The 24,074-nt window shown below is 51.9% G+C and overlaps 1 protein-coding gene across 11 annotated transcripts in view, besides 3 other annotated features; it reads right to left on the reverse strand.

Moving 5' to 3' along the window:
• The window catches only part of GLIS1 (GLIS family zinc finger 1), a 232,926-nt gene that overhangs the window by 156,114 nt on the left and 52,738 nt on the right, over positions 1-24,074 (reverse strand). The gene's annotated exons all lie outside the window — the stretch shown is intronic.
• Positions 15,764-16,058: a silencer, noted in NCBI's record as "tiled region #11088; K562 Repressive non-DNase unmatched - State 21:Repr". NCBI's record gives its function as "represses a minimal TATA promoter and a strong SV40 promoter by Sharpr-MPRA in K562 cells {active_cell/tissue: K562}" and the evidence as "EXISTENCE:reporter gene assay evidence [ECO:0000049][PMID:27701403]".
• Positions 22,379-23,208: an enhancer, noted in NCBI's record as "H3K4me1 hESC enhancer chr1:54150404-54151233 (GRCh37/hg19 assembly coordinates)". NCBI's record gives its function as "activates a minimal SCP1, AML or CMV promoter by ChIP-STARR-seq in naive H9 embryonic stem cells {active_cell/tissue: H9 hESC(naive)}" and the evidence as "EXISTENCE:reporter gene assay evidence [ECO:0000049][PMID:30033119]".
• Positions 23,209-24,037: an enhancer, noted in NCBI's record as "H3K4me1 hESC enhancer chr1:54151234-54152062 (GRCh37/hg19 assembly coordinates)". NCBI's record gives its function as "activates a minimal SCP1, AML or CMV promoter by ChIP-STARR-seq in naive H9 embryonic stem cells {active_cell/tissue: H9 hESC(naive)}" and the evidence as "EXISTENCE:reporter gene assay evidence [ECO:0000049][PMID:30033119]".

Below are 24,074 nucleotides of genomic sequence, written 5' to 3' on the forward strand. Positions count from 1 at the left end.
CCGTCTATTGAAACCATGTGTTCCCAATGAGGTAATGGATGGGAACGCACTTTGTAAAATGTAAATCCCAGCACAAATGGTAGTTGTTATCATTGCCATTATCATGATGATGATGGCGGCAAGGATGATGATGATGAGGGCTGTTCTCCCATCTCCTGCTGTGGGGACCCCAAGTGGCCAAAAATAATCAAGCGTGGATCCTGAGGGCAAACCCATCACATGTGGGCCGTCAGCCTCCTGGTTTGGAGGCAGCTACAGGGGGCAGTTTCTAACAGGCTTAGCCAACTCCATAAGGGCTGCCACATTGCCATTGTAATCAGGTGCCCCAGATCCAGCCAGGCTGAGCTAATTATCCCTCCCACCCTCACCTCCAAACCTATGCCTCCTTCCCCACCTCTAATCAGAGCATCGTCCTCTGCCTTACTCCCCCATCCAACCAGTCACCCATAATAGTGACAACTAATGCTTACTGAGCACCAATGTGGGCTGAGACTGTTCTAAGTCCTTTACAGAGACCATCTCCCCGGCGCTATAAAGCAAACACTGTACACCCCCATTTTATAGATGGGGAAGCTGATGCACAGAAAAGGTAACTGCCCAAGGTCACACAGCTGATAAGCACTGGAGCCAGGATCTGAACTCATAGATTCACTGGCAATCCAGAGCCCATGAATGGCCTCTTCCATCACCCAAGCATCTGTCGCAGCTCTCCCACTGAGCTCCATGGCCACTCCCAAGTGTCTGTCACAGCTCTCCCACTAGCTCCATGACCACTGCCACCACCCTAGTCCAGACCCCCAGCACCTCCCATCTCAGCCTGTGTGGCCCCAGCCCCATCTGCACACTTGGCCTGCCTCCCACAGCCAGGTGAATAACTCAGGGCTTGGATCTTCTTGTTCTTTTCTAGGTTTCTAAATTCCGGTACAGGGCTGGGCCCACAGCAGGCAGGCATCAGTGAGTTCTGATTACACGGAAGTGAACCAAACCCATATCAGAGGCCTGGGGGCTGCCAAGGCTGAGGAGGGGCCACAGACGGCAAGCGAACGGCTCCTGGGTGCCAGGGGCCATGCTGAGCACTTTCCGTGAGTTATCTCATTTCATCCAAAGACCACTCCAGGCACAACTGTGCCGCTGGACAGATACAGAGGCCCCTTCACCCCACCAGCTGGGGCACCCTCCTCTAGAATCCAGAGGGGAGAACCCCAAGCTGGGCTCCGTGACCCTGCCTCATTGCCCTTCACGGCTGTGTGCCACAGCTCCCTCACCTGTCCTGTGGAGTGAGCCATCCCTTTCTGGAAGGGTGGTTGGGGCAGTTGGAGGAGCAAACACTGGTGAGTCGCTGGCCAACTCTGGCACTTCACTGGAGCCCGGGGAACACTGGCTGCCTAAGCTCCATGGAGGTCTCTCTCGGGGTCAGGACAAAACGTTCCAAGGCTGAGCCACGGCTCCCTCCAGGCCAGCGGCGGGGCAGCCCCAGGCAATAGCCTTTACAAGGAGCCAGGATTTATGGGATTTATGGCTCACATCCTCAGAAAAGGCTCCTCTGATGTGGCTCCAGGCGCCTCGAGGGAACCGGGAAAGACTAGCCGGGGGGCTCTATCCCAAGCCACCCCTCCCTTCTCACTGACTCCCCTCCTGACTGCTCTTGCCCAAATGATCTGGAAGGTGGCAGAGAATCCAACTCAGAAAATGAGGGCAACCCAGAACCCACTCTGCAGGGAGTCTGGCCCTAGCCAGCTAGAATCGAAAATAACCCTGACAGGATCCATGCGGTGCCCACTTCCAGGGGAAAGCCTGGCACATCAGAGATTCTGGTGTGCCCCCACCCCAAACCCCACACCAGCAGAGACCAAGTCACTCCCTCTACCATGGTGAGTATTAATCCCACACTGCACCTGCTGGCCCCTAGCCTAGAGCATCCTGCCTCCCACACACCCCCTCCAGGAAGCCCTACCGGATGCTTCCTACACCAGAGGCAGAGTCAGAGTACGATGTACTGCTGATTATTGTCCAGCACCTGCTATATGGCAATGCTCATTAAATATTTATCAAATGGACATATGAATTCTCTGAATTTGTATTGTTTGCAAAGAGCACTTGCCTCCAATGTCATCATCACATGCAGACAACCATAACAATGGAAAAGTATTTAGCATTCAATATGGGCAAAGTTCTAAGTAGTTTTCATTTAAGGCACAGTTACTCAGCTTCTACTATGTGCCAGGCACCATTCTAGGCCCTGGGGATAGAGAGCAGTGAGCAAACAGAAACCCCTGCCCTCACAGAGCTGACACTTTAGTAACATAAACAGCAAACAAACGAATAGTTGCACCCATCAGTTGGTGGTATGTGCAGTGGAGAAAAACAAAGCAGGCAAGGAAGCTGGGGCCTGGGGGTGGGGTGCAATTTAAAGCAAGTTGGTCAGGGAAGACTCCAAGAGGCTGGTGGCTGAGCGAAGACCTGAAGGAGCGAGGGAGCATGCCAGGAGGTTTTCTTGGGGGACAGTATTCCAGGCAAAGGGACCAAAAAGTGCAAAGGCCCTGGGGCAAGAGCACAGATGGTGTGTGAGGGTGAGCAAGGAGGCCTCTGTGGCAGGAGGAGGGGGAGGGCAGTACAAAATGAGGCCAGAGTGAGCAATGGGGCGAGGGGGGCACTGCTGCCATTGTAAGTAAGGACTGTGGCTTTCAATTTTGTGAGATCGCAGCCACTGGAGGGTTCCGAGAGAGCCTATATAGCAGGGAGGCCAGACAGGAGGCAGCACTGCCATAATCCAAGCAAGAATGGTGCTAGCTTGGGCCAGGATGATAGCAGGGAAATGACAAAAATGGGTCAGATTTGGCCTGTGTTGTCAGGAAAGAGCAAGATTTGGGGCTGCTTTAGATGCATAGGGGAGAGAAGAGACAAGGGGACTCCAAAGCTTCTGGCCTGGGCAACTAGTAGGAACATGGGGAAGACTGGGGGAGGTATATGTTGGGGATGCCAGGGGTTCATTTTGGATGTGTTAAGTTGGAGATCTTTTAGACATCCAACTGAAAAGAGAAGCAGTGTAAAGTACGGAGGTGAGGTCCAAAATGGAAGTATCAATTTTGGATCTACCACATGATATCCAAAGACATCAGTGTAGATGAGATCAAGACAGCAAGTCTAACAGCTAGGTGCAGTGGCTCACACCTGTAATCCCAGCTACTCAGGAGGCTGAGGGAGGAGGATCGCTTGAGCCCAGGTGTTCGATGCTGCAGTGAGCTATGATCATGCCACTGCACTCCAGCCTGGGCAGCATAGCTAGACCCTGTCTCTTTAAATAAAGAGCTTGAATAGACAGATACAAACCCTGGGGCATGGGTACTTATAGACGAAGAATCAGCAGAAGTGAGTGAGAAGCAGCTATCAAGGAGGTAGGAGAACCAAGAGGTGACCTTCAAGCAAACAAAGTATTTTAAGGAGGGAGTGAGTGTCTGTATCAGCTACTGCTGAAAGGTCAAATACAATGACGCCTAAGAACTGACCCTTGGATCCAGCAACATCGAACGCCCTGGGGACCTTAATTTTGGTGGCATGATGGGATGAGAGCCCAAGTGGAGTAGATTTAAAGGAGAACAGGGAAAGAGAAAATGGGTATTAACTCATTTAATCCTCATGACAATCCTATGAGGTCAGTACTGCTTTGCTCATAGTCACAAATTTAAAAAGTGGGAGGTAGGAAGCATCAAGGGCTAACCAGAATGCACGAGGTTACACAGCCAGGAAGTGGTGAAGCCAGGCTTTGAACCTGCACTAGCTGGCTCAAGGACCTCTGGTCTCAACACTATACTCTGCCATCCCTCACTGCTGAACATACAGTCACCTGTTAACTGAGCACCTGCTATGTGCCAGGGCTAGTGCTTCACAAACACGACCTGGACAGCAGCTATCTTTTCTCAATCAGATGCAGGTTGGTTATTTCCCTAACCTGCAGATAAGGAAAACTGGGCTCAGCTAGTAGGAGGTGAAATAAGCATTTGCTGGTCTGGCTGACTCTGATGCCTGTGCCTGTAACTGATAGCTTTCAGGATGGAATCCCAGGTCCCACTAGATTAGACACTTGCTTAGTCAGGGACCAGACCAATCACCCTAATTTAGAGTCCCCAAATTCCAGTGGCTGACAAAGAGCCCAGGTATCAGAAGCAGCTCTCAGGTCCCTTCAAGGTCTGGCTTGCCTCCTCTCTAATCTCATCTTCAACCCCACCTCCCATCCCCACTCTGCCCACTCTTGGGGATCCAAAGCCAGGCCTGGCAAATTTGAAGCCTGAGTTCTTTTCCCCAAAACCACCAGAAACACAGCAGAGAGAGGCAGTGAGCCCAGACAAGCCCCTGGATGGCAGAAATAATCCCATGCACCTCACACCCTCTACTCACCAAATCCCTTCCCATCGGCAGGTCTGTGGGCCAGGCTGGGGAGCCAGCAGGGCAGGGGTGATGAAGTCAAACTCTGCTGTGCTCCTAATGCCTCCTTTCTTAGTGATCTCACCCCTCCCTCCTCACAGGTTCAACCTGCCCTAGAACCAGGGACCAGCCTTCTTCCAAGATGACCCTGCAGCTGTTTCATCTTTGTCTTCAGAACATCATCTCCTTTCATGCCCATTCACTGTGCTGCTCATCCCTACACTACTTCATTCATTCATTCGTTACAAGGGAACCTCCTTCTCCTAGTGTCTTAATTTGAGGTTCAGTTTTTCTTGGTGAAAATGTTGATAATGTATACTTGCAGGGCTGTAATGAGAATAAAAGAGATTCGAAGGACTAAAAGCACTTTGGGAACTGCAAAGCACTGTGCACATGTGTGTGCCACTCCGGAGCTTCCCCTGCAAGGCCACTGGCACCTGCACGCCCACAACGGCACTTAGTTCACTCCAGGTGTATCAACCCAAAGCTCTCCTTCTCTCAATATGAGCTCCATGAGGGCCTCACATCCCACTCAAACCACTTCTCTTGCCCCTTGCTTTTGCGTGGCACACACTGGTTTCACAGTTCTTGAGGGAGACCTCATTATTCCCATGCTATGAAGAAACGGAGGCCTGCACCAGGGCAGTGCATCCCCAAGGTCACTCAGCCAGGGAGGAGTGGGGCTTCACCTATGGCTCAAGCTCCATCAACTCTAGCCCGGCCCTTCCTTGGTCCTGGTCTGGCCCCAAGGTCCATTCCCAACCTTGACACTGAGCGAGCTTCAAAACACCTTCTCATCTCTCTTTCAGACTCACAGGCTCTCACAGTTCATTTGTACTGCTACAATAAAACACCTAACACTGGGTAATTTATAAGGAACAGAATTTATTTTCACAGCATTTTGAAGGCTAAGAAGTCCAAGACCAAAGCATCAGCATCTGGTGAGGGCCTTCTTGCAGCGGAAAGCAAAAAGGGCAAGCTAGCTGAAAGGTGCATTAAGCCTCTTCTAAAAGGGCCTTAATCCCATGAATGAGTGCGTAGACCTCATGGCCTAATCACCTGTTAAAGGCCCCATCTCTTAATACTATTATATTGGCAACACCTGAATTTTGGAGAGGCCCCATTCAAACCATTGTACATGGCTTCAATAGTTCTCTACTGCCCTTGGGTAGCAATCCATTTCATTACCATTGCCCTCACAGCCCCACCTTATTTGGTCCCTCTGGCCTCTATGGCCTCATCTCGTTCCATTCTGCTCTCTGCCCTCAACAAACCTGCCTGCCCACCGCAGCATCTGCTCCATTGCACAGAGCAACAATAATCCACTCCTCCAATTAAACTCTTTTCAATTACACCTGGGTTTCTCAACCTCAGAACTGATATTTTAACAGCAGTAGACACTTCCTTGTTGTGGGATTCATCCTGTGCATTATATGATGCTTAGCAGCATCAAGAGTCACTACATACACATACACACATACACTCGTGCTCCACATAGTAACATTTCAGTTGATGACAGAACATATATAACATCAGTGGTCCCATGAGATTACAATCCTGTATTTTTACTCTACCTTTCCTATGTTTAGATAATTTTCTTTTTTTGAGACAGAGTCTCGCTCTGTCACCCAGGCTGCAGTGCAGTGGCATGATCTCAGCTCACTGCAACTGCTGCCCCCTGGGTTCAAGCAATTCTCCTGTCTCACCCTCCCATGTGGCTGAGACTATAGGTGCACGCCACCATGCCCGGCTAATTTTTGTATATTTAGTAGAGACAGGGTTTCACATATTGGTCAGGCTGGTCTCAAACTCCTGACCTCAGATAATCTGCCTGCCTCAGCCTCCCAAAGTGCTGGGATTACAGGTGTGAGCCACCATGCCCAGCCCTATGTTTAGATATGTTTTAGATACACAAATACTTACCATTGTGTTACAGCTGCTTACAGTATTGAGTACAGTACCATGCTGTATAGGTTTGTAGCCAAGGAGCAGCAGGCTATCCCATCTAGGCGTGCGTAAGTACACTCTGTGATATTCAGACAACAACAAAATCACCTACGACACGTCTCAGAACGTATCCACAACACTGGGCAATGCATGACTCTGTATGGTGAGGGTTGGGGGCTGAAAGATAGGATCAGGTCTGGGTTCCTTCTGTACCCCTCACTTTTAAGAGGAACACTACATTTTATTTTACAAGGTGCTTTCATACCCATTGTCCCCTTTGGCGCTCCTAACCCCCACATGAGTCACCAAACATTATAGATGAGGAAACTGAGGCACAGATGAGGCCTGGGCATTCTCCCAGACAATCTTCAGGTAAGCTGGGCCCTCCTAGCTCAGCGCTCCTGCAGACCTCTATCTGGGCCTCCACTCATGTGGTCCCCAACAGTCCCTGAACATGTCCTCTGTGCCTGGCCCTGGGCTCATCCTCCCCCCACCTAGAGGAGTTTCCAGGTGAGAGACCTGGACACGGAGATGTGCACTCAAGTGCCATGGGGGCTACAGTGGGGCACCCACAGGAAGGGGGTGGAGTGTGAGCAGAGCTCCATGTTGCCCACCCTGTGGGCCCATGAGCCCCCTATGTATATCACTACCAACACAGGGCCTGGATCCCAGCGTGTGGTCAGCGAGGGAGAAATGAAAGAAAGGGAGAAGGGAAGGGGAGGGGTAAGAGGGGGCAGAGAGAAGGGGAGATCTGTCAACCAGGTAAGGCTAGTGAAGACCAGATCTCCTGCATGTACCAAAGCTGGGTCAGACACTTCCTAGTCATTCATCACAAACACCCACTGAATATCCACTCTATGCCAGGCTAGGGACTGGAGGTCCTTCGGAGAACAAGCCAGACACATCCCAGCCCCTGTGGACCTTATAGGCTGCAGGATGTCTGGGCTCCATAGCCCCAGTGCTGCCTTTGATCCCAGCCCCTCCCATCACGTGCTAACTGCCTGCTATGTGCCTATCCCACATAGACTGGGACTCCCTGAAAGCAGAGGACAGGTCCAACCCTTTGCTGTGTCCCCGGCACCCAGCACAAGCCTGGCCCTGAATGGCCCATCTGTTGGCTGAACTGAAGAAATCATGCATCCAAGGATTCAGGCAGCAGAGGGTGGGGGAACTGCTTTAGAGAGGACTTCCTGACCAGGACAGCAGCTTGCAGCCCAGCCAAGGCCCAGCCAGCTTGTTTTGTCAGACAAGCAGTAAATACTTAAAGTGGGACAGACTCCGTGACAACACATGGAGATTACTGGTCTGGCTTTTTATCTGCTTTTATCAAATGATCCAAAGCATAAAACAAGAGTGGCTCAGCAGCCACAACCCAGGCCAGGATCCTATTTCTGGACTGGACCACTCTCTGGATTCAATATTAAACTAGCTCTGGCCAAGAATGGCTCAGCCAACAGGAATCTGAATGCTCCCCCAGCCCGAACCCACATCTCCATCAAGAGGAGGCAGCGTCCCAGAGTCACGAAGCACCTGGCCAAACAGAGACAGAACAATTCTGGCTGTGTGAGATTTTTAAAACCTTTTGGACTATAAATCTCCAAAAAGTGAGACTCCTCCCGACAGACCCCAATCTGATGCCCCGCTTTTCTAAGCCCTCTAACTTCTTAGCATGTCATCTTAGATGTCTACATTGTCTTACCAAGAAGACTGTTATTGATTCAAAGACAAGGATGGGTCTCATTCATTGCTTCCTGCTCCAGATCCCAGTACACAGGAGGTGCTTAATACAAATTTATAGTTTTCACAACTTAGCAGTTCTCTAAGAGGAAGACACCTTCCATCCAACCCCTAACACACCAGCCACATGAAATTCCAAAGGGATAAATGTTAAGTCCTGTGATAGGATTCAAATTGCTTCATGCTGGGTCTCCCTGAGTTCCCACAGCAAAGCTCCAGTGTCTATGTAAACTCCCAGTGGAGAACTAACCAGACTCTAGTCTAACATTTGTTCCCAAGTCAGCCTCCCTGACTGTGCCCTGCCTAAGGTGCCTTGTTCATCTCTGCTCTGCAGCACCCAGCACCTCACCTGACCCATGGGAGGAGCTTACTGGTTCTTTGTTAAATGAAGATGTTTATCACGTTACTATTTGCCATAGCGAATGAAAAGCAGGCAACAATCTAAACGTCCAGCACCAGAGGAAAGACTGTGTAATTATATCAGGGTGTGTGCAGGTAAAGAAATACTGTATGACCACTATTTTGAGAGGATGTGGCACACGAAGAAAAATTTTAAAGTAGAGTATGAAAGTATCATCCATGCCATGATTCAAACTATTTTTAAACCATGCATGTGGACAGAGGTCAGAAAGGAGCAGTGAGCAGAAGAAACTGGTGATGTTTTTGTGGGGGTAAATTTGTGTAACAATGCATCTCATTTTCAGTTACTGCTATAATGCTGTCAGTGAAGAAATTTTTAAAATAATTTACAGAAGAACAGGAAAGTGAAAACCTGTCTTAGTAGCAGGGGATATTTTTAAAGGATAGAGGATTTGAAGGATGGAGATGTTTAACATACGGAGTCAACAAATTGATGAGATCTCAAGCTCCATTTACCAGAAGAAAAATGTTCAGGTGAAAATACTCTCCTCCTGGGCCCAGAAAGGCCATGTCCACCAGGCTCGGCTCCTGGCACCACATTCTAAAAGGAGCTTGGGTACCTGTATTTGGAGAAGAGTGCCCAAGGCAGATGGCTGGGGTGTTGGCTCCTGGAAACGAGAGGCCCATGGCCCCCAGTGCCTGAGGCCTCACAGAGTAGAACCAGGATCAATGGGAGAAGTTATAAGGGCACAGATTTCACTAAATATAAGAACGGTCTTTGAAAGTAGTAAGCTCCCCATCACTAGAGGTATTCAGGGACAGACTGGAAGCCCTCCATTAGGAATATTTTAGGGAGAGGCACATGAATTTCATGAATGGTATGGAAAATGGAACATTTATTTATTAAGTACCTATATACATTAGAATGCACTTTATATGTTATTTCATTAAATCTTCATAGATTTTTACAGATGAGGAAATTCAGGCTTAGGAAGGTGAAATGGTTTGCTTAAGTTCACAAAGCTGGTTAAGGCCAAGCAGGGATTCAAACCCAGATCTACCCAACTCCAAAGCTCCTTCCCCTCCTTCTCAACTTTTAAAATATTATATTTATTAACAAGAATTGACTGGAATCTTCATTCCCACTTCCTCCTACTGTAGGATGAGGAAATTCTCAGCTTTTCCCTCTGTGAGCTATAGCCTGGGATACACAGCAGGCCCTGGCCAAGCTGGTTGTGGCCAACTGCAGGGTAGGAGGGCCAAGGCCAACTGAGTCAAGGCCTGCCTCCAAGCAGCCCTGAACCCATCCCACCCAGCCATTCTTCCGATCCAGGTGCCAAAATGGACCAGAAGCCCAGGGTATATCCTAAGCCTTCCAGGGCTCCTGATGGGGCCTGAGAGTAGAGTTAGGAAGCAGTGCAGGGCAGTGGGCAGAACATTAGATGAGGAATCCAGAGGTCTGGCCTCCATCACCTTGGGCAAGTCAGTCCACCTCCACAAGCCCCGCCTTCCTTTGTACGAAATGGAACCATTCTACCCACCTGACTCAACTCAGAGCTGTATGGAGTTCCTCCGGGAATACTTTCTTACCTTCCTATCTGTTAACTCCTACACATCCTTCAAGGCCCAGCCCCAAGATCACCTACTCTGTGAAGCCATCCCTGATCACCTCCTACCCCTGGGCCTAGAGTGACTTATTGTGTGCTTCTCTAGTACTCAGAACATCCCCTATCATTGGACTATTTATTCGGCTGTGAGTCTTGGAGCAGTCTCTAACCGCACAGAGCAGTGAGCTGGATTGACAACAGGGCTTCTCTGCCAACCCAAACCCAGTTGGCTTTTGAGGCCTTGCATTTGCAGGTCTCTGTGAAGTCTGCCTGCAGCCTCTGATGCTTTGTTTGACAATGTGCCCTGCAAGACTTTCCACCTGCTCCTCTATCTCCCCTTCCCGACACAAACCTCGAGTTTTCTCTCTTTCTATGCCCCACAGCACCCAGCTCAGGGCTGGGTATAAAAGCGGGCCGTGATCTCCCAAATGTAGCTGCCCACAGTGGCAAGAGCGCCCTGGAGCTGCTGTGGCCCTACCCTACTCTCTGCTGGGACTGGCTGCAGGGCTCAGGCAGCGTGGGCCCTCCCCTAGGCCCAACATAGCCAGACTGTCCCCAGGTCTCTGCCCAGCCAGGTCGCTCCAGTGTCGGGTACATTACTCCCTGAGCTGGCAAGCACTCCGTGTTCCCCACAATCTCATGCCTATAAAGGCCTAAGTGGCGCCAGTGGAGGTGGAAGCCTTGTTCCAATCTGGGTCCCCACAAGCCCCCCTTCATTTCCCGAGCCCACACTCAGTTTAGGCTCATAAGTGTTATGTCTTTAACCTCTTGTCCACACCATGCCCACAGAATTTTTGTTGTTGTTGCTAGTGGAACGCCGCAGTGATTTAGAGATAGCAGTGATAAAATGACTCTGAAAGGGCCTAGATTACCACTGGGGCGACTTGGCCAGGGAAACTCAGCCCCAGATACACAGGAAAAACAAAATATACCCATGCCTCCAGTTACACTGTGCTGAGGGAATGAACCAAAAGGGCTTTACAGAAAGGCAGCACAGTGTAGGGGAACCGTGGTTTCAAGCCCTGACTACGCTCAGCAGCTGTGAGGTCCTGGGCAAGTCACCTCCTTCGGAAAGAGTCCTTTGACACCTACTTCCCCAGTGGCCCCTACCTATGTACACCTACTACTCCCCGAGCTTCTCATGCATCTCCCACTACACTGGATTTCCTCCAAACCAGGGTTACATCTGTTCTTCTCAGTCACCCAGCTCAGGGCCTGAGACAGAACAGCACTGGTAAGCATTTGTTGGATGAACAGATGGATAGAAAAACAAAAGAACGAAGTTCAATTCTCTGGGCCTATTTTTCTCTAGAACAAGAATTAAGCCACTCTCCATTATACATTCCCTAATGCTAAGCACAATGCCTGGTGCACGGTAGGTGGTGAAGTCCGCATGAAGGCAAGAATGCATGGAAGCCTGTGTGGTCTGACTCCTCATCAGGGTTATGGTTAAGAATCCACTGAGGCCGGGAGCGGTGGCTCACGCCTGTAATCCCAGCACTTTGGGAGGCCGAGGTGGTCGGATGACTTGAGGTCAGGAGTTCAAGACCAGCCTGACCAACATGGTGAAACCCCGTCTCTATGAAAAATACAAAAATTAGCTGGGCATGGGGGCACGCGCCTGTAATCCCAGCTACTTGGGAGGCTGAGGCACAAGAATCGCTTGAACCTGGGAGGCAGAGGTTGCAGTGAGCCAAGATCATGCCACTGCACTCCAGCCTGGGTGACAGAGCGAGACTCTGTCTCAAAAAAAAAAAAAAAAAAGAAAAGAAAAAAAAATCCATTAAGATGGGGGTGAAAACATTGCAAATACCTGTGTGAGAGTGGCTTTGATCAGTGCTACCCAACGTGTGGTCCACAGTCCAGTGGCATCAGCATCGCCAAGAAACCTGCTAGAAATCCAAATTCTCACCCCAACCTATTGAAACAGAATCTCTGTGGACAGGGCTCAGGAATCTGGATATTAACAAGCCTGTCAGGTGATTTTTAGGTACAGGAAAGTGTAAGAAACACTGTTTTTAAAATCACAGGTCTAAATTACTTAAGTTCTCTGTGCCCTGGTTTCCACATGTGTAAAATGGGGACGGGAATACATGTAAATGTGCTCAGAGGAGTTGCAGGCATGTGAGCTCTTGTTGCTGTTGTTGCTGAACACCTAGCCAGGATGTTCAGCATGGTGCGAGACACTAGGAGAGGCAGAGAAGAGCAGACACAGCCCAGTTCTGATGTCCAGAGCTTAGGCTTAGGGTAAAGGCATGTTAACCTGAGGAACATGTAATGAAGTACTTGATGATGTGGCTGTGGTCCAAGGCTGATCCAGAGGCCCCTGGGATTGAGCTGAAGTCATTCACATAAGGGATGCTAGGCTCACCACCCCACCAAAGCTGGCAGGAAATTTCTCTTTTACAGAAAAGGAAACTGAGGCTGAGAGAGGCAAGACTGGCCTGAGGTCATTCAGGCAGTGCGGGATGAGCCAAGCCTGGCATGCAGGCTGCTAAGAGAGATTACAAGCAGATTTCAAATAGAAGTGCCCTGCAGGAGCTGTCACTCACTCGCCATAGCCCAGGAGCGGCAGGGACAGTCTGCCTGCACACACTCGGTGAATTCAGCTCTCCTCACTCACTTCCAGCCAGGAGACTCATGGGCTGAAGGAGTCACAGCATCTCACCTGGAGACAGCTGGTTGTCTGCAGCCACCAGCTTTGCTTGACTGGGGTTACGGGTGAGGGTCCTGATAACTCCAGCATCCTGAAATTCCCCAAAATAGCCTCTTTCCCAAACCCTGTTAAATTAATATTCATTCACTTACTCTCCAAGGGTCTTCTGTGTGCAGGCTCTGAGTCCTTGCTTTAATCCTAGCAAGGACAAGAAAATCACTCACCTGGGATTATTATTCCATCTTTAGAGATGTGGCTCAGAGAGGGTATATGGCCTGAGGTCACACAGCTCAAGCAGGGTCTGATGGTGAAGCCTGTGCTCTGCTCGTGCCCTTGCTGCTTCCCTGAATCAGAAGCTTGGGTGGTGCCTGGCTCAGACCCAAATTAGGGCCCAACTTTGGGCAAGTCATGGCCCCACTCTGAGTGAGCCCAGATCTCCCAAGGCAAGAAAAATATCATCTCTCTCCCACACCTGTCTGGGGAAATGTAAGAAAATGAAGCAAGGAGCTGTGCAAACACACAGGTGTCACTGACCACCTCTCACAGCTGGCCTCAAGCACAGATAGACACTGCCAGGGGACTTCTCCTCATGGCTCTGAAGGCAAGAGGACGGTTTTCCTCATTTTGGCAGAGGCTTATAGAGATGCAGCTCTCACACAGAGGCACAGAGCAGCAAAGTCCGGACTCGAACACAGGTCTTCTGGCTCCTGGCCCTGGGCTCCTTCCAATTGGAGCGCTCATTGTCCTGCCACTTCTTCACCAAAACCTCCCCCAACCCCCACCCCACAGAACAGCGGCTCCTACCCCACCCCATCCCACCTCCTCTCCCTACCTGGCCCAGAGAGAGAAGCCTGGAGCCAGCAGCCATCAGGACCTTGTCCAAAAATCCCCAGGCAAAAGCAGGAGGGGGAAAAAAGGCACAGTTAAGATGTGAAATGTCTTGAACAGAACCCTCTTTTATTTTGAAGAAGAAATCGTAGACTTGGTTCACAATTCAGGGAAAAAAAAATTAATCCTTGGATTCACTTTGGGATTCAGCAAATTAACACCGTTTGCTCTGGTTTGGGGTTTGAGGTTTTGGTCAAATCTGTGGGATGCAACAATTGGGGATACCCCACCCCACAGGCCCCAAGGGTGTCAGCCTCAGTGGCTCCACTTAAGGGGTGGGGACAAGGAAAGACTCATCAGGGAAGACCAGGCAGGAATCGTGGTTCCCCTCAAAGCTCTGAGCGCAATCGGCCCAGGCCTGGACTGAGAAGCATCCACCCTTCCCCAACTCAGTCTCCTCCTCAGTCTGGGCTAAGGGCTGGGCTACCCGCCTCCCCCACACCCTGGCACAGCAACCCAGGGAGGAACCTCCAAGCCTAGGAGATCCAACACACCCCCATAGGCCCTGCCCGGGTCTTCCTGAGGATCTTTCCACCTCCTCACTGTATGGGGTACTCCCTGAGGGCTAGTCCCCAGAATCCAGCACAGTCTACAGGCATGGCCGATGTAGATATTTAGAAATCACCAGCACCCCGCACGCACCCCCAGCCCCAGCCCTGCCACAGACATGTTCCTTAAGGACAATCAGGCTGAAACAGGCAAGGCACAGGTCCTTCCCCAGCCCTCGGGCTGAGCCTTCCAGCTTTTCACGTGTGCGTCCTGAGGCCAGAAGCACCCTCCACCCTGACCTCCAAGAGTGCCCTCTAATGCTCTCCAGGGCCAAGCCAGGCTGTATCCCTCCCCATCAGCCTCATTTCAGGGCTAGGAGTTCTAATACCCCCTTGAATTTATTATAATTTCTCTTTCATTCTTGCCTCATACTAGAATGAGAAGGCTTTGGACGCACTTGCCTTCAAATCCCACTTACCGGTCCTGCGGGCCCTCTGGCCTTGCTAAGGCTGATCTACAAAACCAGAATGTAACACAGGTCTCTGGGACTGCATGACGTGACATACACGGAGCCCCTAGCTGAGCAACGCAAACAGCAGGTACCGCACAAGCCCAAGCTCTCCTTCCCCTGTCCCGCTACCCTTGAGGATGACGCCGGCCTACAGCTCTGATGACAGACGCACATTAGGGGTATAATGAGCTTCCCGAGGAGCTAGTGTTTCCATCAACAGAGTGAGTGTGTAGATTAGTTATAATGGGAGTTACGGTTGCTACATCCACTTTTCACCAACGAACAAAATTGGTGGAACCAGAAAGGCTCCTTCCATGAAGGACCAGCAGGGATGCCCACCTTCCAGGTGAGAAGATGTAGGCACAAAGCTGCCGAGTGGCTGGCCAAGGCGGTACAGGCAGTGGGGATGGCGCGGGGGCAGGAATTCGAGTCTGCCAGGTTCTGGGACCCAATGGGGAGAAACACCCCGCAAATGACAGACTCGCCTCACCAACACCTAAGCATGTTCCCAAAAGCTCTGCTCCACGGCCTGGCCATTGAACGCCAGACAGACAGCCAGAGGAAAAACAACCCAGTTTGGAAGGCAATAAAAATGTGTTTTTTCTTGCTAAACAAATTAGTTTACATCTGGCGATGTACAAATAAATTGAGGGGCCTCTGCAGGCCCAGACCAGACGTCTCCCAGGGCCTGGGCCCCAGTCCGATTGGACCCAGCCGCGGGCACCCGCGAGGAGCACCTTCACTTCACGCTTGCTGTCACGCCATCTCTGGGATCTGCCGTGCCTCCTCACCTCTCCCTGCTTCTCTGTCATCACCTCAAGAACTGCCCATCTGTAGGCGTTCCTCCAAGCCTTCTTCTCGCTTAAGGGAGGAGCACAGTCTCTGGTGTTTGCCTCCCATCTCACTGCTGCGAGGCCTCCAAAACGTACTTTCCCCTCTGAGCCTCAGTCTCCTCAAGTGTCAAATGGAAACACTGATGTCTCCTGCCAGAGCTGTGGCGAGAATAAGATACACCTGAGGTCCCCACCACCATGGCTGGCACTTAGAAAACAGCCCCCAAACGTGGGATTCCTCCACAGTTCCCTGGCACCACCGGCTCCTTGGGAAACATACTGGCTGTGGATGGCCCGAGGTCTGTTGATCCTGGTCTTTCTTCCCCATGCTCCTGAGGCAGTGGGCACCCCCATCAGACCTGATGATGTCCCCAACAGATGTCCCCTGAGGTGCCTGCCACCCTTGCTGTAGAGCCACGCTGAGCTGCAGCTCGCCGCAGATGCCCAGAGGGCCCCCTTGCACGAAGAACCTCTCTGCGGATTTGAGCCATCAGTTCTCAGGTGGCCTGGGAGTGCAGGAGGGTGAGGGGGGGGGGGTGGGGGGCAGGGGGGAGCGGGGTCACTGCCTCAGAATGGGCTGCAGCTGTTCAACCTCCACACAGATGAAGAAACTGAGGCTCAGAGAGGTTAGATCACTTGCCTGGCATCATTAAAAAAAAACAAAAGCCAGGTCTCTGGACTCCTAGCACCAACAATATTTTCTAATTCACATTAATGAGAAAAGGCTGGTACCTGCACCCCCAGCCATGGATGGGGAGGTGATGGCAGAGATGTACTAAGGGCACAGAAACATCACCTACAGCCTGTCCAAGTACCAACAGTCACCATGACTGCCCAGTTCTCTTGGCACTAAAAGGCTGCTGAGTTCGAGCCCTGAGTTAAATGAATGCATCACTGGGGCGTTGCCAACTGGTACTATCAGCCAGAACACAGACAAGAACAGCCGGGAGCAGAGCAAGAGTGAGGCCTCAGCCTGGGGAAGGGGGAAAGGTCTCTGACCTCAGTCTCCTTAACTGGAAATGGAAAGCACCGCACAAGCTGAACTCCAGGGTCCCTTCCCAGCCAGAGAATCTGCCTTCTATGGACCCAACTTTCCAGCCCACTTCTGCTGTCAAGTGTGGTGTGCCTGTGGTCTGGGTTCCCAGGGAGCAAACCTAAAACCAGCCCCTGGCTGCTCCTTCCCTATGACCCTCCACAGCCTGGGAGGTCACCCCCCACCTCTCATGTCCTCTTCCCACCAGGCCCAGGTCTGAAGTTGGGCTCGTGGCCACTGCAGCTGCCGGCGTTCTTAGATGAAGCGGGAAACACGGGGGAGCAACCTTACATCCCACTTCATCTCCCTCCACTACCTCCAGGCCACCCTGGACCTCTGATGGGAGGGGGAAGGGGCCCACTACGAGGGGGAACGGGCAGGAGAGAGGGAGGTGGCAGCCACAAATGCCCCCAGCAGCAGCTGCGTGACTGTGGGAGCTGGGCCTGCAATTAAAATAAACCCCAAAACAGCCTTAAAATAACTACAAGGCATTTCAAGAAGATTGTATTGTTGAATTTACTGTTTGTTTACTGAGACAATCCGAGTTGGGTTTCAGATGAAAGTAGGAGGGAGACCAGATGTGAGGCTGAACGTCTGACCTGAAGCATCTGCTGCTCCAGGAGGAACCCAGGAAAAAGGGCCAGCCCAGAGTGAGGCAGTGAAGACTCAGAGACTCAGACCCCTGCCCAAACCACAGGCTGCCTGGCCCCTCCTGTTCGGGCCCCAGAAAGCCACTTGCCCCATTTACACAGAGCCCAGGGAGGGCTACTGACAGCCACTGTGTCCCAGAGAGAAGTCTGAGCCACAGAACCACAGAGATGAGAGCTCAAAGTCAGCCATGCCTCCTGGACGGGCCCCTTGGCTGCTCTGAGCATGCTTCCTTGGGACAGCAATCACTCCTGCCTTCTGGCGCTGCCGGGAGGAGGGCCTGGGGAGGGCTGGAAAGCCCCTGTAGCATGCTGACACACGGTGGACAATGCTGGCCCAACTTTTTGACTTCTCTCTCCAGCTCGTTGGTCCTTTCTTGTAAAGAGGATACTTAGAGCTGAAAACCAACAGCTCCTACCCACACCTGAGGCAGCCTGACCTTGGAAAGGCCACCCCATGTTCCTGTGGCACCCAGGGTGCCCCCAAATATGGAAGCAGTAATGGAGACCCCTGTTTCCTTACCACCCCATCCAGGCCACATGTCTTTGAACTCCTCAAGGTCAGGTGCCAGGTCGAATTCTCCAGATCCCCAGTCCCCAGCCCAAATGTCTGCTGAATGAAGGAGGGAGAAGGCAGGGAGGGAGGCAGGTCTCCACTCACAGGAGATTCTAAAGGACCTAGATTGTCTCAGCCACTAACAGCTTAAAAAAAAAAAATTCAGATCAAATACGGCATTTGTCCTTAACGTCTTCATAAGGAAAGGCAAGGAGGGAGACTTCCATCACATAAGCCTCATAGATAGGAACACGGAGGCCCAAAACGATTAAGAAAATGTACTTCCCTGTCCACAAACCCCTGCTTTTTGGCAGGAAGTAGAGACTATGATCTATGCCACGAGTGTGGTGCCCACCACTCAGTGGCACCAGTACTGGGGTGGAAGGGGACAGCCACAGACCTCTGCTCCTGACAGAGCTGTGTCACCATGGGCAAGATACTTAACCTCTCTGAGCCTCTTCCTCCTCTTGCAAAAGATGAATAATAAAGCCCCTCACCTTGACAACATTAAATAACAGAAGGGAAAGTGTTCTGTGAACTGTAGACCACATGGAAATGTGATCCTCAGAAGATGTGATAGTCATCCTGTTAATATCAGAGAAGGTTTTAAAACTCACGTGGCCAGAAAACAAATCCTATTTGGGGGAATAGGTGTGATGCTCCTACTATCTGCTGAATGAATGAATGAATGAAAGACACTCCAAAACCAAAGCCATTCAGGTCATCTGAGTTTATTCTAAGACTGATTCTCCCTACTAAGCAGCAGGAATAAAATATCAGATCTAATCCCACAGCTGTCTAAATGAGCAGGGTGAGACGTATCTGAAGATGCAGAATTGACTGTGGACAAGAGCTTTACCCTTCACTGTGCCCAAGGTGAACTTCTCCACAAGACGGCACACATGTGGCCACTGCCCAACACATCTACCCTGAGCAGACGCTGGCCAGATGATCTCAACCCTGGACACAGCTGGGTCAATGTTTCCAGGGCCTTCAGCCTGACTGCGCTGATACTATCTGCCAGGGTCAGAGAGAGGATGCAGGCCCCTCTTCTCGGCCTTGGGTCCACACAAGCCTCTGAAATTAAGTTAAAGAGGAAAACTCCAGCACTCCTCCACTGCTCCGTGATCCACACTGGCAGCTTCTTTTCTGAGTTCGTGGCTGCGTGAAGACGCATGCCCAGCTGTCAGTACCTAGGCTGGGTTATGAGTAGATGGCATGCTCTTCTCCAGGGCTGCTCATCAGAACCAGGGCTGCAGCCTGAGGTGGGCTGAGATGGGGCCAGCCACAGTTGTCCAACAAGGCAGAGTTTCAGGGCCTCATCATCTGCTGCCTGCATCTCTGCCACCGCCCCTCACTGGCCGCCCTGCTCCCAGGACAATGCCAAGTAGGGAGGGATATACTGGCTGGAGCCAGAAAGGGGCCTGGACCCAAGTCAGAGACAAGGGAGAATTCCTGTAAAACTGTGAGTAAAATGGGAGAAGTGGATGCCACCAGGCTGGACAGTCACAGGCAGCCAAGAAAGAGAGCATTCATATTCTCTCTGCTGACAAAGCAGGGGACTGGACTTCCTGCAGCTTCCACAGCTCCAGGATGGCTATTTCTTTTCAAGGACTACTAAGGAGAGGTAGGAAAAGGGCTTGAGCCCACCAGTGGTAACCACCCCACAAAGACTTGTGAAGCCCCCACTTTGCTCTAGGTGCGTGGGACACAGGAGGACCTACCCTTAGGGAGCAGATGGCTCAGAGCTGAGTGCATTCGAGGTTGCTGTGGGTGGGTGGAGCAACTGGGACTGAACCCCCTCTCTCCTCCCCCATCCTCTTCTTCTGTAGAGCCATCTGCACCCAGCCAGCAATACGTTCCTGCTCTCGGGGGCCTTCTTTGACTGCTTCCCCTCCCTTCCTGCTACACTCTGTGCTGAGTTTATACTACACTAACTTAAACCACTTTGTAGGCTACTTTGCAAGTGTTCTTAATCTTTCAACTAATTCGTTGGCTCTTAGAAAATAAAGGAAATTTGAAATTGCTGTGCTGCATGCAATAAACTCTTGGCATCTGGCCAGCGGGGGCCGTTCCAGGCAGAGTCCGCACCAGCCCTGCACAGATGCTTCCTGTTGTAAAGGTGAGGCACCCCTCTGCCTCTACACAGCCGCTCACCACCGGACTCCGACTCCAACTCCAGACCCGCTTGCAGCCATGCATTCTTCACTCCTTCAGCCATCCAGCAAGCAGCCGCTGACACAGCTGACACCTGGTGGCAGGTTGTGTGTTAGGCATGAAGGAGTGGGGGGATGAAAGGTGCATCAGGCACAGTCCCTGCATCCCTGCATCCCCGCGAGGAGCTCACATTCTGGTGGGGGAATGGCCCTCTCATTCTGTAGATGACTGAAGTAAGCTGAACATAATCAGAAGAGGGCCTTCCTCTGCAGGTTACCTCTCAATATGTGTCCCCATAAGGGATGCTGAGGCACAGGCAGATGGCAAGGGCCCTGGCAGAGACCCTAAGTGCTGGCGTTGCAAGTTGGCAGCACTTCGCTTATTAGAATACACCCACGTTCCTGTCTGAACTGATTCTTCAGGGGCAATAACGCAGAGCCAAGGGGCAGGCAAGGAGACAAAGGCTTAGGAGAGGCCCTTTCACCATTGGTTAATCTAGGAGGAGCTGCCTTTCATAACAAGTGTGCAGCAGTAGCTCATTCAATCAGACCAGAATAGGAAGGAAACTCGAAGATTATCTGAGACAACCCTGCCATTTTACCTACAGAGGGACTGTGGCCCCTAACTGTATGATGAGCTAAACAGATGTCCCTGCCTTGAGCTCAGCACCTAGTGAGGGGTCAGAGAGCAATCAAGGAACCATACAAATAATACACGATCAACTCTGTTAGAGGCACGAAGGGGGTATACATAGGAGAGGAATCAGGAAGTCTTCCCTGTAGAAGCAGCATGAACTGAGACATGAAGAATGAGGAAATAGTGAGCAAAGGCTGCAGCAAAGGAAGGGAGAGGATTCCAGGTCAAGGGAATGGTCTGTGCAAAGGCACTGAGGCAGAAGGTGGCACCGTGCTTTAGAAGGAAAGGAAAGAAGGCGAGTTCAGTCCTGGCATATGGAGTCTGGGGTCCCACTTCTGGCAGACACATTCCTGGCTCCCCAACCTGCACTGTGGATATACACCATGAACACCTCCTGAACATCTACCAATGGCCAGGTGCTCATCCAAGCGCTCACACTCAGTAACCCGCTAACGGGCATCCTCACACCGCGTGAATGTGATTATAACCGCAGGCAGGCAGTCCCCAGAGCCTGAGCCCCCCCAACCAAAGGCCTCCTAACTTGTGGAGCACAATGACCATGAGCAGAGACTATGATGTCAAAGCCTGGGTTCAAGCTCCAGCCCTGCTTCTGATTATCTGCATGACCCTGAGTGAGTTACTCTATCTCTGCAGGCCTCATCTGTGAAATGGGGAGAATGAGGGCACCACCTACCTCAGAGAGTTCTCACGTGGATCACACGAGATCATCCACATAAATCAGCACTGTGTCTGGCACACAGCATGCATCAAGGACGTTAGCAGGTACTAGCCTTAGCTCTTCTGTTTCTAGCCCTAGCAGAAGACCTGGCACGGGCAGGCATGTGGAATGAAAGAATGACCGAGGTGCCCGGTAAATGCTTGTCAGGAATGGAGTGTCACAGCACTGAATTGGGTACCCTGGGGAGGTACTGAGCAGCTGTCAAGAGAGACCCTCAAGCACACAGTGGGTGGTCACTTGCTGGGGATGCTGCAGAAGGGATTTGTGCATTGGGAGGATGTGGACTAGAAGGATGAGGGCTTTGTACAGTCCTTGCCAGGCTTGAGACTCAGGGACTCTCCTGACCCACCCCGCCTGCCAGAGCTCGGACAATTTTATGGAGCTCAGTTTCTTAATCACCTTGTTCTGCTGGGGCTTAGAGTGGAATCTTTTCCCCAAATTGGACATTTATGGGGCTGGAGTAGAGATGGAGAGCAGGATGGATGAAGTGTCCACATTCCAGCTGGGAGGTTAAGGGCTTTTGTGTTCCTTCCTTCTAAACTCCAAAGTTCCCAGCCAGGCCTGGGGGTGTCCATGTCTCCCTCAGATGGGCAGGGCATTCCTGGGTCCATGTCCTCCCCACCCCCAAGATCTCTGCAGTCCAGCTCCTCCTACCCTCTCTGGAGGGAGCCAGGCTGCTAGAACCTCAGGGCCTCCCCAGAACTCAACACAGGGCTGGCACCCAGAAGGTGTTGTGTATTTATGGAATGTGTGAACCAAATTCAGCCGATTTTCCTAACCCTGGGAAAGCGTGGGAAAGCCTAGAAGCCTCTAGGGGTCTCCCTGCTCCCTCTGACTCCTGGGCTTTTTGTGGTCAGGACCAGCCTGGGGCCCTTAAGATGGTTCATGGGGACCACTGCAGGTGAGCCTCACTTCACACTGTGAGGTGAAGCAACAAGTAGAGGTCAAAGCCACCAGGGTGGGTGGCTGTTCAGAGAATCTTGCTCTCGCCAAAGAAATGGAGGGCCCTCCAGTACCTCCTGAAGCACAGTTTGGTTTCTGTCACTACCTCAAATCAAGAACTCACTAGTGCCCACAGGGTCACATCCAGGCTCTTCAGCCTGGCACTCATTCCCTTCTTCCCTGCCATGAATCTCCTTCATACAGCTCCCACACCAGCCTGGTGGGCCACCTGCCTCTCCTCTCCTCCTGGCCAGCAGGCTCCCAGCACCCCTACCCCATGACCACCTCTCAGCAGAAGTCCTGGGCCTGCTTTAGGGCAGGCAAGTGGAGCCTGGCTTGCTGTGTGGCTTCAGGGAATTGGCTCTGCCCAGATCAGTGAATCCACTCTGCCCAGCCCTGAGCTGGAAACAGAGGACACAGAGAGTCATGCTGCCATCAAGAGACTCACGGGAGGGGAGATAAGCCAGAGCTCTGAGGCTGTGGGGACCCAGAGGAGACACCTGACCTGGGGTGGAAGTCAGGGAAGGTTTCCTGGAGGAGATGCTGGCAGAGTTCTGGGAGGGACACAGAAGAAAGAAGAGGGTGGGGAGGCATTTCCCCCAGCAAAAAGGCCATGAGCAAGCAGGTAAAGGTGAAAGACAGCAAGACGGGTGTCCTGGCTGACCTCTGCCAATGCCCAGCTCACAGGAGCACTCCCCATCCAGAGGCCACAGAGAAGGAGACTAGACAGCATGCAGCTGACCCTACATGCTGCCACACACCCCTGCACCTTCACTCCCTTTGGAGCCCGCGGACATACCATTCCTTGTGGCCGCCCCGCCGCGGAGGACCGCGTCCCCAGAGCGCCGTGGTGTCTGCGCTGCCGGGCGCGATCTGTTATTATCCCCCGTCAGCGCTGCCGGCCTGTGTACATTCCTCCGTAATGAGTCTGACCTCCTCGGCAATGTTTAATCAGAGCCTAATCGACCCTGGCTTTGATCTGCTGCATTTTCTGCAAAAACCCTGGTACCTGATTTTTACAATCTGATTAGCAGGCTGACTCTCCGAAGCCAAAATTACCCTGAGTTGCAGAGATCCCTGCTGAGTTCTTTGTGTTTTTTCCCCTCTCTTCCAACAAGTTATTTCCTGAGACAACTGTCACTTCCCTCCTTGCCTGTGACTGTCTCCCTCACCCTCAGCTTTCACATCCAGTCAGTTGTCAGGTCTCAAATAGTGGGTCCTAACCCATCCCCTCCTCTCCCCAGCGGCTTCAGCGCTGGCCACCGCTACCACGGTCTGAGGCTCCTGCCCCTGACTGGCCCTTCAATCTGTCCTCCATCCCGCAGCCAGATCTGCTGGGAGCCGCTGCCACTGTGCTGAGCCATCTGGCCTCAGGAACTGCTCCCTGCTGAGCCCTCCAGCCAGCCTGTGGCCAGCCCCACCTCAGATTCTCCCCACTCCCTCTCATGCATGGGTTCCGTCAGAAACCTGCCCTCCCCCTCTGCCCCTGCCCTTCATCTAGTTTCATCTCCCTGTCATCCACCAGGCTGCTCACTGGCCCCTCTCCACTCCCGCAGCCATGATCCCAGCTGCCCACCTATGGCCATTGTTCCTTCCATCTCTCCCACCAGACTGCAAAGCCCCTTTAGGAGGTTCTCTCTCATGCTCCACTGTTTCCCCACGGAGCGGAGCTATGACTGCCCTGAAGCTGGGTACTCAGTAAATGAGGGAGGAAGGAAGGAAGGAAGGAAGATTCCCTTGCAGCCCATTCTGGAGGCCACGCACTGCCAAGTCAGACCGTGGCCCCTTGTTATCTTTCAGCTCCACACGGCACAATTCTCCCCTCCGGCTCAGCCTACTCCACTTTCCACCAGCCCCCTAGCCTCTCTGATGGAGGACATTGCTTTGTTCTCATCCGCAGTGCTTTCTCCCTCC

This window comes from Homo sapiens, chromosome 1 (assembly GCF_000001405.40).
Source record: "Homo sapiens chromosome 1, GRCh38.p14 Primary Assembly".
Lineage (NCBI taxonomy): Eukaryota > Metazoa > Chordata > Mammalia > Primates > Hominidae > Homo > Homo sapiens.